A 14,044-nucleotide genomic window follows, 5' to 3' on the forward strand; every position below is an offset into this window, starting at 1 on the left:
ATCTACATTTTTTTTTTGAGGCAGAGTCTCACTCTGTCGCCCAGGCTGGATTGCAGTGGCTCGATCTCTGCTCACTGCAGCCTCCACCTCCTGCGTTCAAGTGATTCTCCTGCCCCAGCCTCCCAAATAGCTGGGATTACAGATACATGCCACCATGCCTGGCTAATTTTTTTGTATTTTTAGTATAGACGGGGTTTCACTATGTTGGCCAGGCTGGTCGTGAACTCCTGACCTCAGGTAATCCACCCGCCTCGGTCTCCCAAAGTGCTGGGATTATAGGCACGAGCCACCATGCCCAGCCCCTAGCTATGTTTTTATAGGAATTATAGTAGGCAGAAACACTCTTTTAATGGGGCATATGACTTGTTAATCAAATCAGCCAGATGACAGTAAATGTATTTTCTTCAAAGGAAGTCCAGCAAATCACTTAATTTGTTAATGACTCAGCAATGAAATCATTTAAAAAATGATTTGGGGAATGGGGGTCCTATGTCTGAATGACTCAGTTTTTTTCCTTCCAATGGACTATAGTGGAACATGGTTTTACTCTCACTTTGAATAATTCTGTTTGAGAAATCTTAACTGTGCAAGCAGTCACTTAATAATTTTTTAAGTAGTCTTATCTAAATCTTGCAGCACGGTCATTTAACAGTAATTATTACATATTTACTGTTCACCTGTGAATGTGAGACTACTTTGTGAGAATTATTACTGTGCGATATTTTCTTAAGCATTACCCTTATATGGCAAGTGAACGTATTAAATTGCCTAAGGACAAGCAATTGAAAGTAAGGACAGAGACAACATTTGAATATGGTGTTTTAAGTGTATGCCTTCAAGAAAAGCTTGTGTGTATCCTAGCAATATTTAGACAAGCAGGATGACCTCCCATTTCTCTTTGTTTATTAAATAGTGATTTTGTAAGAGAAATATAAAGAAAAGTTTTATATTTTGCCGCTATTTAAGGTTTTTTGCTATTCATGAGCCTGATTATTTCCTTTTTGTATAGGAAGATTTTCAGTCAATGACTTATGGATTTAAAATGGCTAACAGTGTGACAGATCTTCGAGTTACAGGTAAAATTATTTTTAAAGTTAATTCACAAGTTTTACATTTTCATATGTTTCCTTTTAAAACTTATTGTTTCTTTTTCTAGGCATGCTAAAAGATGTGGAGGATGACATGCAAAGAAGAGTAAAGGTATATATGTTTTCTGTTTGGTGTGGGGTTTTGGTACACTTCTAAATGTCAGTTTAACTTTACCTAATTAAAAATGTGTAGAACCACCTTTCTCCTGTATGTGCTTTGTATTTTTTTTTTGTAATGAATTTGAACACTGCTAGAGGAGTTTCTGATAAATTAATGTCATTTTCAAATTTTAGTATATGTGCTGCCGAAGCGAGCACAAATTAATGTCATTTTCAAGTACAGCCATCCCTCAGTATTCTCAGGGCACTGGTTCCAGGACCCCTGTGAATACCAAAACTCAAGGATGCTCAAGTCTCTTATATACAATGGTGTGATATTTGCATATAACCTGTTCATGTCCTTCTGTATACTTTAAATCATCACTAGATTACTTATAATATTTAATATGTAAATGCTATGTAAATAGTTGTACTGTACTTTTAAAATTTGAATTTTTTAATGTTATTTTAAAATTTTTTTCTGAATACTTTCAATCAGCGGTTGGTTGAATCCAACCCATGGATACAGAGAGATGAGTATATTAAAATTTAACCCACTTGATTCTTTCAACTTTTTGCCAGTGTTTTAGATTTTTACTATGGTATTTTAAAAATAGTATTTTTCTCCCACTACTGTTTTGGGTTCCTCAAGGTAAGGACTATCTTGTTCACCTTTGTATCTTTAATAGCTGGTACAGTGTCTGGAACACAGTAGGTGAGCTCAGTAAGTGGTGATATCCCAAATCTGGTGAAAACCTTCTAGATGACCTTGATGATTTGCTGCTTTTCATAGAGATGGGGGAAAAGTTATATTTCTACATTTTTTTTTTAACACTAGTATGACAGTATGGTTGTCAAACTTCATATTCTCTTTTTTTGATTTTTACAATTCAGTGAATTGAGCAGTTAGACACACACAGTGCTCCACTTTTAGATGAGGAAAATACAGATCAAAGGAGTTAAATAACCTGTGTCTTAGCTTTACTAAAGGGCATGTAAATGGCAGCTTTAGGGCTAGAACCCACAACTTCTAGTAGATCTTCCTGTAGTACCACCCTGGTATTTGGTCAAATAAAATTGTCCACTATAACATTTGTATTAAGAAATTGTGTATTTTAGTGTAAAATGGATCGGTATTGACCATTGAACTTTATTTTTTCATAATGTGATTTTTGTGAAGGTTACAGTTTTTTTCTAACAGGGTTAGTTTTGAGAGCATCAGGAATTTCAATTAATATCTCCTTTTAAAGGAAAATATACTATGTGCCATATACTTCTGCTTATGTTATTTCATTGTTTTGCTTTTGCTGTTTGAATACTTAATTCTTTTCCATGATCTTTATAATTTATGTCAAAATGACCTTTCTGTGTATAGGATTAATAGGAGGAATGTAAATACTAGACACGGCTTTTTTTCCCCAACTATTTTCCCCAAAAACAGATTCTTGTGTATACTTAAAAAATCAGTGTTTTTCCTTATGTATTTGTAATGTAATATTTTTTCAGGTTTGTGTTTAATTCACCTTTTTTAAAATTTTAGAGTACTCGAAGTCGACAAGGAGAAGAAAGAGATCCAGAAGTTGAACTAGAAGTAATTGAACTTATTTTCTGGTAGATAATATCAGAGAAGTCTACCTGTTAATGTTGTAGTTTTATGAACTGCGTTATAATTTATGGAAGCCCTTTTTAAGGTATTTCTTTAAAAATTGGACATTGCAAGGGATTTTATTTCCCTTGTATTTATTTTGATAGAATGATAATACAGCTCTTTCAAATAGATGATTTCAAAACTCTTCAGTATTCCTGTGAGGTAGGAAGAAAAATACGATCTTTCACAGATGATGCACCAGAGCGCCACAGTATCAAAAGTTGCTGAACCTTTGTCGAGATTCTAAATTTTCTGACTCTGCTTAAAGCACATTTTAATCAGTCCTTTTTAAAATGCAGATAACATCAGTTTTTTGAGGTAATAGTGTAAATTTTGACTTAGGACAAGATCAGTGCTGTTGATATAGAAACTTCACATTCCGATTTCAAAAGAATAGGCTTTGTTTTGTTTTCTGCAGCTCATTTTTCAGGCTTTTAAAAGCCTGTAAGTGAAGGTGCCTGTAATGTAGTAAGTTATTAACATTGAGATTTAGGAGTTAATATATTTTAAATGAAATTCCTTTCACGGGCTTTGCATCTTTTAACTTTTAGTCCTTTCTTGTTTTTTTAGCACCAACAATGTTTAGCAGTATTCAGCAGAGTGAAATTTACTCGTGTGTTACTGACAGTGCTTATAGCCTTTACTAAGAAAGAGGTAAGGGCATTCAATATAATATGTCTATTTGTTTTAGTGATTTTGGCTGGAATTCCTGAGTGAAGCAGTTCTGAAACTTCTCCCTTGAAGTGCTCCTGATCCCAGATATACAGAACTCAGCATTTGGTATATTTATACCAGTGTAACACTGATGACTTTCTCAAGAAATCACATGAATTTTGTTTTATTTTTTACTTATTTGTAAATAATACATTAGAAGCTGAAATTACTTGTAGGTTGTTATATTTTGTGAATTGAAAAGGAGAAAGTAAAATTTTAGGTAGGCCTAGTCTTACCTTCAGTTACATAATTAACTGTTGGGTTTGTATAGAACCAAAAGCAAGCCCTAGATGGTGAATATTTTTTCCTTTTTGTATTTTTGCACTAATTCAAGTCAATTACAGATTAATTTGTGAATAATTTATAAGTGGTGAATAGGGATCCAATTTTTACCACTAATTTAATTTCTGTAATTCTATTTCTTCCCATTTTTTTTTTCCTACCTTGATGAATGACATGGTAGAATTGTTGAAAATTTTTTCATTTTCTAGTTGATTGCTTCTTTGGTTTTTATTGTGAAAAAAAAAACCAAAAATATTTTCTATTATTTTAATTGATCCTACAAGTTATAGATGTGAGTAAAAAAACCATTTTCTATCCTAACAGGATCTGGACATCCTGTATTAAGTGCATAGTTTATGAAAACCAATGTCATTACAGCAAGCATTTAATTTCATTATTGTTTATAGGATTTTCCTATTTAATGTATATCTTTCAGTGAAAGAATATGTAAGAATGTTTTTGGTGATTTATTTGCTAGACCAGTGCTGTTGCAGAAGCTCAAAAATTGATGGTTCAAGCAGCAGATCTTCTTTCTGCCATTCATAATTCATTGCATCATGGCATCCAGGCCCAGAATGATACTACAAAAGGAGGTAATTGTTCAATTTGCTCCTACTCTTTCTTTTCTTCGTTTCTATCCAAAATATTTAGTGCTTAGCTTGTACTAAAGTTTTTTCAAGTCAGTCTTGTACCTTGGGATGTTTTAATCCAGAGACTTACAGTGTTTAGGCTCTTCTCTGTAAATATATACTAGACTAAAAAACAATACTGTAGAACTTGGCCGTTTCCTGTATATTACTATTTAGACTTGGAATATGTATCCTGTCTTATGTCCATGCTGTGATGTTACAGTCTGGCAGCTTCTTCTTGCTGCCCAGAAAAGCCAGCGCAATGAGAACAGCAGAGAAAGAGTTTAATTATCATGAGTCAGCCAAGTGGAAGGATGACAGCTGTTTCTCAAATCTTCCTCCCCGAGAATTCAGGGACTAGAGTTTTTGAAGAATAGTTTGGCGGGCAGTGGGTGAGCAAGGAGAGGAGATTTGTTTCAGGAAGGGACAGTTACCATCTTTATTTAAATTGTAAACTAAATTTCTCCCATAGTTGCTTGGCCTACACCAGGAATAAGCAAAGACAGCTTGTGAGGTTAGAAGCAAGATGGAGTCAGCTATGTCAGGTTTCTCTCATAATTTTTACAAAGGCCATTTCAATAATAATGAATCACCTTTTTAATCACCTCTCCTCTTTTTTGTCTGAGAGATTGTCACTTCGATTACACATGTTAGAAATGATTGTTCCCCAGTGCTGTAAAGAAATAGCACTTGAACATAAATTTAATTTCCTTGGCAAGGCCATTTTTACTTTCTGCAGAAAGGGTACACTCACCAGCAGTTTTGCCACGAGAGTACGCTAAGCAAAGGAGACAGGATCATTTATAACCTGACACGTCCACCCTACTGCTGTGTCCGGTTTCCATTGGCTGGAACAGGACCTTACATTTCTGTATTTGTCCCAATTGGCTAGCAACTTAGAACTTTTTAAAAGAGGCAAAGGCAGAGGAGAACAAAGGAAGGAGGAAGTAACTTGTGGAATGCTGAGAAAAGTAAAAACTCCTTCAAATAAGAAAGAAGAACAGGCTATGACCTAATGCTTGCTTGGACCAGTAAAAGCATGCCAGGGCAAATATTTAGGCTAAATTCTGGGAGCTAAGAACATAAAGTACATTGATTTATTATGGCTAGCAGATATTTAATAATGTTAGCACAGGTTTTTGAATAAATTTTGCTTCTAAGAGAAGTTACTATTTATTCCTAATTAGATGGGGAGGAAAGTCTTTGAAGAGGAACTTCTACTTTGCTTTTTACACACAGTCTACTCTGAACACCAGGCAGGCGTTAGATATTCTCCCTGTTTTGGAAAAGATTTCACTCTGTATTTTTCCTGTGCTCTCACACCACCACAACAGTCATCAGTACAGAAGACTTGAGTGATAACTGTGTAGGTTTTTCCACACACACCAGCTGGATGCCCTCTAATTAAACTCCCATTGAAGGAGTGTTTGTGGTAGTGTGGAAAACACAAACTCCAACCTCTACTATCTACCCGGAGGTAATGCCAGATCCCACAGGTTGACGGCTCAGTCCCCAAGACTGCTCTTCCTCCCCAAACACCAGTTCCATGTCTGGGTTTCCAGAACTTCTGACCCACTGGCTTTAAGTTGGGATTCCCACGACTCTCTTTTTGGTTTCAGCTAATTGGCTGGAGCGAGTCACAGAACTCTGGGAAACACTTGGTGTGTTTACTGGTTTATTGTGGAGGCTATAGGATGTGAAGGATACAGATGAAGAAATGCATAGGGTGAAGTATGGGTAAGGGTCTCGGAGCTTCCATGCCTTCCCTGGGTGTACTATCTCCTAGGAACCTCCACATGTTCAGATATCTGGAAGCTCTCTGAACTGTGTCCTCCTGAATTTTTACAGAAGTTTCCTTACATAGGCATGATTGATTAAACCTTTGGCCATTGGTGAGCAACTGGACCTTCAGCCTCTCTCCCATCCCTGGAAGTTGTGGGGTGGGGCTGAAAGTTCCAGCCTTGTACTCATGCCTGTCTTTTTGGTTATCTGCCCTACCCTGAAACTATCAGTCATTCGCATATCAAAAGACAGCACTCGGAGAGTCTAAGGATTTTAGGAGTTAACGTTAGGAAACAAGAAGGAAGACCAAATATATATTTCATAATGTCACACCCTCTGTGTTCTCACTGCATTCATACAGGCCTCTGTTACATTTTCTTGTACTTTGTATTTTAGTTTTTTACCCATTTGTCTTTCCATGAGATTTTGAGCACTTTTAGGCCAGGCACTCTCTTCTTGTGTATTGCCATGCTTGGCATATTGTTGGCACTCAGATTTTATTTATGAAATATGCCTTAAAAAGAATAGTGTACCTCTGTTGTAAAGTTTACAGTGGGTTAACATTGTAGATAATGTGTAGCAATTTTGATTGTCCTTAAAACTCATTAAAATGAGATGACATTTATATCCTTTTTTCGCCCCTCAACGACTTGGCCATTCCAGTAGAGAGGAAGAGAAATTTATATGCTTCAAATTAGTGTTACCCAGTTGTCAGTCTTGTAACCAGAAAGGCAAGTTTTTACTGATCGACACCTCATTCCTTTTCCACACCTACCCTCCATTTAGAGACAGACATTGTGTTCCCCTTCCCATATATTTTTCTTTCCGTGCTAAAATGTTAGGTAATACAGCAACCCAGAAGGTAATTTGGGTTAGGAAATCAGTATTGTCATAATTTTTGTGTTTCTACTAGTTGTGCTGACTTTGTATGTATTTATCATCATTTTCACTTTTTCCAAAAGAGGGAGTGTGTTTATAGGATGAGTGACTAGGTAGCATTCTGTACCATAGGACATAAGGAGGTGGTTATGCATAGCAACGTAGTAGTACATGTTTACAGAGAGGGATAAAATGTCCACAACTCTGAAATGCTTTGAAATCTACAGCAATAATACTTTTATGAAAACCACTATATAATAAATGACTTCAAAGTAATTTGTTGGTTTGTGTATCAAAAAGATGATGCAAAGCAAGAATCTTCCAGATGATTGGAATCTGGATGTTTCTTTTTGCCATGTCTGACTACTCCTGGGCTATTCTGCTCTGTATCTGTAATCAAACTCTGAGATGATAATTTCCGTGGGATCATTAGTAGCTACAGCTTGTGACTTTTCTATATTTCAGACCAGTGTTAAAAATAGCTTGTGCATATGATCTCCTCTATTACTCTGGTTTTATAGTGTGCTGACAGGCTTCAGGAAAATTGTTTATGTAAAATTGGCTTGAATAAACCTTTTAAAAATGTAATCTTACGACTAAGCAAGTGAAATTTTAAATTTAACAAGTACTCACCCTGTGCTTGTATGGGTAATACCTTTTAGCTGGCATAATTTAACGTTCTAATTATCCCTTAATCATAAGCTGTACGATTCTATAATTAAAAAGTTAATGCCTTCTTAATGTCTATTCTAGTAGAAGAATGATGAGAAAATAATAGTATAGATTAGTTTTGGTCTCTACTCATTTTGCCTTCTGATTATATTACAACTCCAGCTGGTGACAAGATGGCTGTGTAAATCTTGAAATCACTGAGCATTCATTTTAGCTTCTCATTGAAAGGTAGATATTCAGTATGAATTGTAAACTGGCATTAAGGGAGAAAGTAGGAATAATCAAACTTGATCTGAGAATTACTTGCTGGTGCATTTTCTCAATGCATAGTAATATCTTTATGAAGATGCAGAATGCAAAAGTGGTTTTGGAGGTGGATAAGGAGGGCAGCTTACTGATAATGGGATTTTTTTGACGTGGTTACATGGAGCACTGTACTAGTAAAGTATTTGGCCCTGGAAAATGGATAGAGAAGCAGATTTTGGAGTCATTTTCAGTGCTTATTGAGGGAGCAGATGGTATTTACTTGGGACTTACTGGATTCAAAGATGTGACCTTGGGTTATATTGTTGTTGAAGGAAGAAAGGAGCAAAAAAATCCAGTGAAACTGATGTTTTTCTTTGTTTTTGCTTATGCTGTCTTGAATTTTACAGTTCTTTTTAATATGTCTGTGGAAGTTTAGCTCATCCTTTAAAATGATGTTCACATCACCTCCTCCAATGAGACTTTCCTGGTTCTATTTGTCAAAATATGTTTCTCTTTCCATGTTCACTCATAGTTATCTGTGAATTGGGTCTAGTTTACCCTTTAGATTATGAGCATCTTTAACAGTTGCCAATGGAAATAATATATTTAAATTTATGTTGCCTGAAATTAATAGATACTCTTGGGGAGTGTATTTTCAAATCTAACACACAGTTTCAAGAGGACTTGTCATCTTTTAAAAATAAATTAAAAGATACCTGAATAAACTTGGTGGGTTGAACACATGTATTTGCTTTCTGAAATTCCAAACAAGCAATGAAGAAGTGATTTTTTTCTTTCAAGGCATAATTGATAAAGATGAAAAAGACAGGGAAAGGAGAAAATAGCAACAAAATTATTTTAGAAGCTGGAAAACAGAAGGACATTGACTTACCTATCTCCAAATAACTATTTTTAGCCACTGATAGAGGAAGTCAAAGGCAGCCCAGTTTATACAGTGGATCTCCTCAAGGCTGCATTATTGGTTTGCCAGATACTTCTGGAAATGGGTATGAGAAATTTAGCTGAAAACATGAGAACTGGTTGATAATCTGTTCAGAAGCAGAAATTTCATCCCCCTTTTTGCTGAGTGACATTCCTGAACCTCACAATACTAAAAGTTTATTCTCTGGAGGAGGGGGACAGAGGGATTCTGTACTTGAGGGTATATGAGGCCCAGTTGAAGGGTACACATTATGAGAGAGTTAAGTGAAAGTTAAGTAGTCATTATTGTGACCTACTTTGATTCCCCATCTGCTCCTCTCCTCGCTCCACTCGGCCTTCAGAACAGTGTAGCCAGGCACATGCTCTCCACTTAAGAGTTTAGAAGATTCTTCTTAGGGAAATCTGAAAAGTCCAAGAGATGGGGAAAAACAAAAGCAAATTCTAAATATGCTAATTTCAGCAATTCCCTTGATAAAATGGCTTGGTTGAAAGCTTGACCTGTATTCACAGTGCTCTTAATGGTTTTTTTTTGGTATGTGCTCTAGTTTCAAATCTGAGTATATAGTTAAGGGTGGAAATCTCTAGCCTGAAAGAAAGAATAAAACAGGCAAACAAAGTACCTTAAGAGAAATGAGAAAAATCAGTACGTATGTAAAACAAAAATAGGATGCTATATGAAAGGAAAAAAGGGGAATATGTTCTTTGAGATTGAAAATAGAAGAGCACGGCGGGTGGGGGCCAAGGGGAGGGATAGCATTCAGAGAGATACCTAATGTAGATGATGGGTTGATGGCTCAGCAAACCACTATGGCACATGTATACCTATGTAACAAACCTGCATGTTCTGCACATGTATCCCAGAACTTAAAATAGAAGAGCAGAAATGACAAAAATAAGTAGGAAGTTTAGAATACAAAGTTGCAGAAATCTTAGAGCCAAAAATGAAAAGGTGAAAAATAGGAAAGATAAAGATTATACTAGGCTTAGTCAAGAAAGGTCTACTATCTAATAAAGGTAAGTAAATAAAACATATAAAGGATAAACTAATAAAAGTTGTTCCAGAAGTATAGATCAGAAAATAGAAGCAAAAAAAAAAAAAAAAAATCACTGGATGTGGTAGCCCATGCCTGTAATCCCAGTGCACTTTGGGAAGCCAAGGTAGGAAGATTGCATGAGGCCAGGAATTCAAAACCAGCCTGTACAACATAGCAAGACCCCATCTCTACAAAAAATTTAAAAATTAGCCAGGTGTGGTGGCATGTGCCTTGTAGTCCTAGCTACTCGGGAGATTGAAGTGGGAGGATTGCCTGAGCCCAGGAGGTTGAGGCTACAGTGAGCTATGATTGTACCACTGCATTCCAGCCTGGACGACAGTGAGAGACCCTGTCTTTTTAAAACAAACAAACAAACAAACAAACATGTAAGAAAATTTCCTGGAGACAGATGATATGAATGCTCAGATTGAAAGGGCCAATAAAGAGCCACCCAGCACACCAGAATGAAAATTGACTTGTGTTGAGGTGGCATATGATTATGAAACTTTAGAAAAGTGGCAACAAATGGAAGATCCTAAGAGAAAAGAGGCAAAACCAAGTTACACAGAATCAAGACAGAGTGTCACATGTGCAGCAGTAGTGGAAATTAGAAGTCAATGAAGTGAAAACCAAGATCATACTTCCTAAAGCAAAACTTACTCAAAGCTATAGCAATGAAGACAGTGTAGTTCTGGATAGATACAGATCAGTGGAATAGAACAGAATTGAGAGCCCAGAAATGAACACTCATGTTCTCGGTTGCTATTTGACAAGGGTGTCAAGACAATTCAATGAGGAAAGAAAAGTCTTTTCATCAAAGATGCTAAGACAACTGGATATCCACATGCCGGAGGATAAAGTTGGATACTCCCCATCACCCCTGCTGGTCTTATGCAAAAGTCAACTCAGAATGGATCAGTGACTTAAATGTGAGAACTAAAGCTATGGAACTCTTAAAACATAGGCATTAATCTTACACCCAGGTTAAAAAAAGCAAACCTGCATAAAAAAATGGGCAAGAGATTTGAACAGACATTTCTCCAGATAAGATTTGCAAATGGACAAAAAGTACATGAAAAGATGTGCAACAACATTAGTCTTCAGGGAAATGCAAATCAAAATGAAAAGTTACTGCGGCCCACCCACTTGATTGCTTTAATAAAAAAGATAATAAAAAGTGTTGGCAAGGATGTGGAGAAACTGGAGCCCTAATACAGTACTGATTGGAATATAAAATGATACAGCTCTCTTGGAGATAGTCTGGTAGTGTCTCAAATGTTAAACATAGAATTATCCAAGGGAAATGAAAACATCCAAACAAAAAGTTATACACTAATGCTCATAGCAGCATTATTCATAATAGCCAAAAGGGAAAAATAGCTCAAATGTCCATCAGTGGATGAATGGATGCATAAAATGGTATATCCATGTAGTGGTGTATTATTTGTCAACAAAAAGAAATGAAGTACTGAAGGACCTTTAAAACACTGTGTTACATGGAAGAATCCAATCAGAAAAGACCATGTATTGTATGATTTCCATTTATATAAAATGTCCAAAGTTGGCAAATCCATAGAGACAAAGTAGATTAGTGGTTTCCTAGGATTGGGGGAAGAATCATGGGCAGGTAAGAGTGATTGCTAATGGGTATAGAGTTTCTTCGTGGGTGATGAAAATGTTCTAAATTTGATTGTGATAGTTTCACAACTCTGTTAATGTATTAAAAAAACCATTGAATTGTATACTTTAAATAGGTGAGTTATGTGGTATGTTAATTATATCTCATTAGAATTGTGAGTAAAAGAAAATCACTAGAGAAATGATTTCAGACTGGGGGGAAATGGTTTTTAATGTTGAATTCTAGACACAAACCATCATTTAGTTTTGAGGAAAGATAATTTCAGGCACTTAAAGTCTCAGAATTTATCTCACAAAAGTTTTGGAAGATGTGCTCCATTAAAACATGGGAATAAATCAAGAAAGAGGGAAGCATGAGGTTTAGGGAAAATGAGAATCCATCATAAGAAAATAATGAAGGAAATCCCCAGGATGGTGGTGAAGGGAGAAAAACACAAGATAATAGCTGAGCACCATGTATGGACAAGTCCAGATTGGAGGAAGCCCCAAGGCTCTAGGGAAAATGTCTCGAAGATACAAGACCACTGTTGCATTTGATGTATTCAGAAGAGATTGAGAGAACTGACAAATGGTTTGGGGTTGAATTAAGCCTTATGAGACAATTATTAAACTTCAGAATGCATATGAAAATTAAAATTTTCACATCTGGGGCAATGGATAACTTAAATCATAGTGGTGCTAATGCTGACTTATTTACTTGATCATAGTGGTGCAAATGCTGAATATGGATTATAACCAAAATTATGATCTAACAGTGTTGTAGGTGAGGGGACAGAAGTGTGTGCAGGCATGTAATTTGTATGTGGTTACAGTGCTACTTGTTTTTTGTTTTACACATTGTCTCTGACTTCCTCCTTTTCAGGTCTCTGACATCTTCTAGAGATGGAGGTGGAAGTCAGAGATAATGTGTAAAACTGAAAAGAAACGAAGGAGTACTCTAAGCTTGTTTTTTGCCAATGTGTAGATCAGAGGTGTCCAATCTTTTTTTTTTGAGACGAAGTTTCACTATTGTTGCCTAGGCTGGAGTGCAATGGCGTGATCTCGGCTCAATGCAACCTCTGCCTCCCGGGTTCAAATGATTCTCTTACCTCACCCTCCTGAGTAGCTGGAATTACAGGTGCCTGTCACCATGCCCGGCTAACTTTTTGTATTCTTTTTTTAGTGGAGACGGAGTTTCACCATGTTGGCCAGGCTGGTCTCGAACTCCTGACCTCAAGTGATCCGCCCTCCTTGGCCTTCCAAAGTGCTGGGATTACAGGCGTGAGCCACTGCGCCTGACCGGGGTGTCCAATCTTTTGGCTTCCCAGGGCCACCCTGGAAGAAGAATTGGTCTTGCATCACACATAAAATATGCTAATGAGAGCTGATGAGCCAAAAAAAGAAAAAATCACCAAAACAAATCTCATAATGTTTTAATAAAGTTTACAAACTAGTGTTGTACTGCATTCAAACTTGTTCTGGGCTGCAAGTGGGACAAGCTTGAGGTAGATAATACCAAAAAAGAAATACAAGAGATAACTAAGAGGAAATGGAAGAGACTGCCTCTGGGGAGAGAGGCATGTTGGGTGGAAAACATGGTTAGAGGATTGATTGTTGGTTTTAATAAAAGCCTTGCTCAACTGATTCTTGAGCCACATGCATATGTGACTGAAAAAAGTTAAAAATGTTGTGTGTATTAAAAATAGATTAAAATATGTAGAATATGATGGTACATTATCTGTGATATGGCTCCTTTAACTTCCTGAGGACTACTGACCTTGGTGCCAAAGACAAAACTATGCTATTACAACCCAGTCGGCTTAACTTGCCCACCATGGCAGTGTATTGTGCAACAGAGGTAGAGCTGACTTCATTTTAAAATCACAAGCCGTTAGAGAGTACTAGGCCATGATGTGCTAGTGCCAGGAGCTTGAGATGTTTATTCTTTTAGTTCAAAATTTTTTCTGTTTTTAAAAAAGTCCGTGCATACCCACACATGTGTGCTTGTGTGTATCTAATCTAGAGGATTTCTAGTTTGGGGATGGTACTGTGAAGATGGCTCTGATGTTTCTACTCTCTAAAACCAGCCAAAATCTGTAAGGAATATGAGAAATAGAATCTTTCCAGTGTCTTAAAAAATAGGGAACACTTATAACCAGAATCAAAATAGAATGGGACCCAGGAGAGGGAGAACATTGAGAATGGATAGATTTTCTTAGTGTAAACATAAGTAGACCTGCAAAGGACAGTGTTCTCACAAGAAGTTGACAAAACTTGAAGGGAAAAAACTAGGGATTCTCTTGGAATAATCACAGGTGTGGAGTACACAAGCTGACTGTGTTAAACTATGTGAATAATACCTTGGAAAGGCAAAGGAGGTGGGGCTCTGCCAGAAAACATGCACATGTACTG

At 36.6% G+C, this 14,044-nt stretch overlaps 1 protein-coding gene across 7 annotated transcripts in view; it reads left to right on the forward strand.

The window, feature by feature from the left end:
- The window catches only part of NAA35 (N-alpha-acetyltransferase 35, NatC auxiliary subunit), an 84,317-nt gene that overhangs the window by 32,812 nt on the left and 37,461 nt on the right, over positions 1 to 14,044 (forward strand). For 5 of the 7 annotated variants that reach the window (XM_005252127.5, NM_024635.4, NM_001321881.2 and 2 more), the window contains 5 exons: positions 1,010 to 1,076; positions 1,157 to 1,200; positions 2,728 to 2,778; positions 3,406 to 3,489; positions 4,310 to 4,424. In XM_005252127.5, the coding sequence (XP_005252184.1) occupies positions 1,010 to 1,076; positions 1,157 to 1,200; positions 2,728 to 2,778; positions 3,406 to 3,489; positions 4,310 to 4,424 (361 nt within the window). Of the gene's footprint in view, positions 1 to 1,009; positions 1,077 to 1,156; positions 1,201 to 2,727; positions 2,879 to 3,405; positions 3,490 to 4,267; positions 4,425 to 14,044 lie in introns of those variants that run through there. The other 2 variants (XM_024447648.2, XM_024447649.2) reach the window with 2 other exon arrangements.

Source organism: Homo sapiens, chromosome 9, assembly GCF_000001405.40.
Source record: "Homo sapiens chromosome 9, GRCh38.p14 Primary Assembly".
In the NCBI taxonomy this organism is placed as follows: Eukaryota; Metazoa; Chordata; class Mammalia; order Primates; family Hominidae; genus Homo; species Homo sapiens.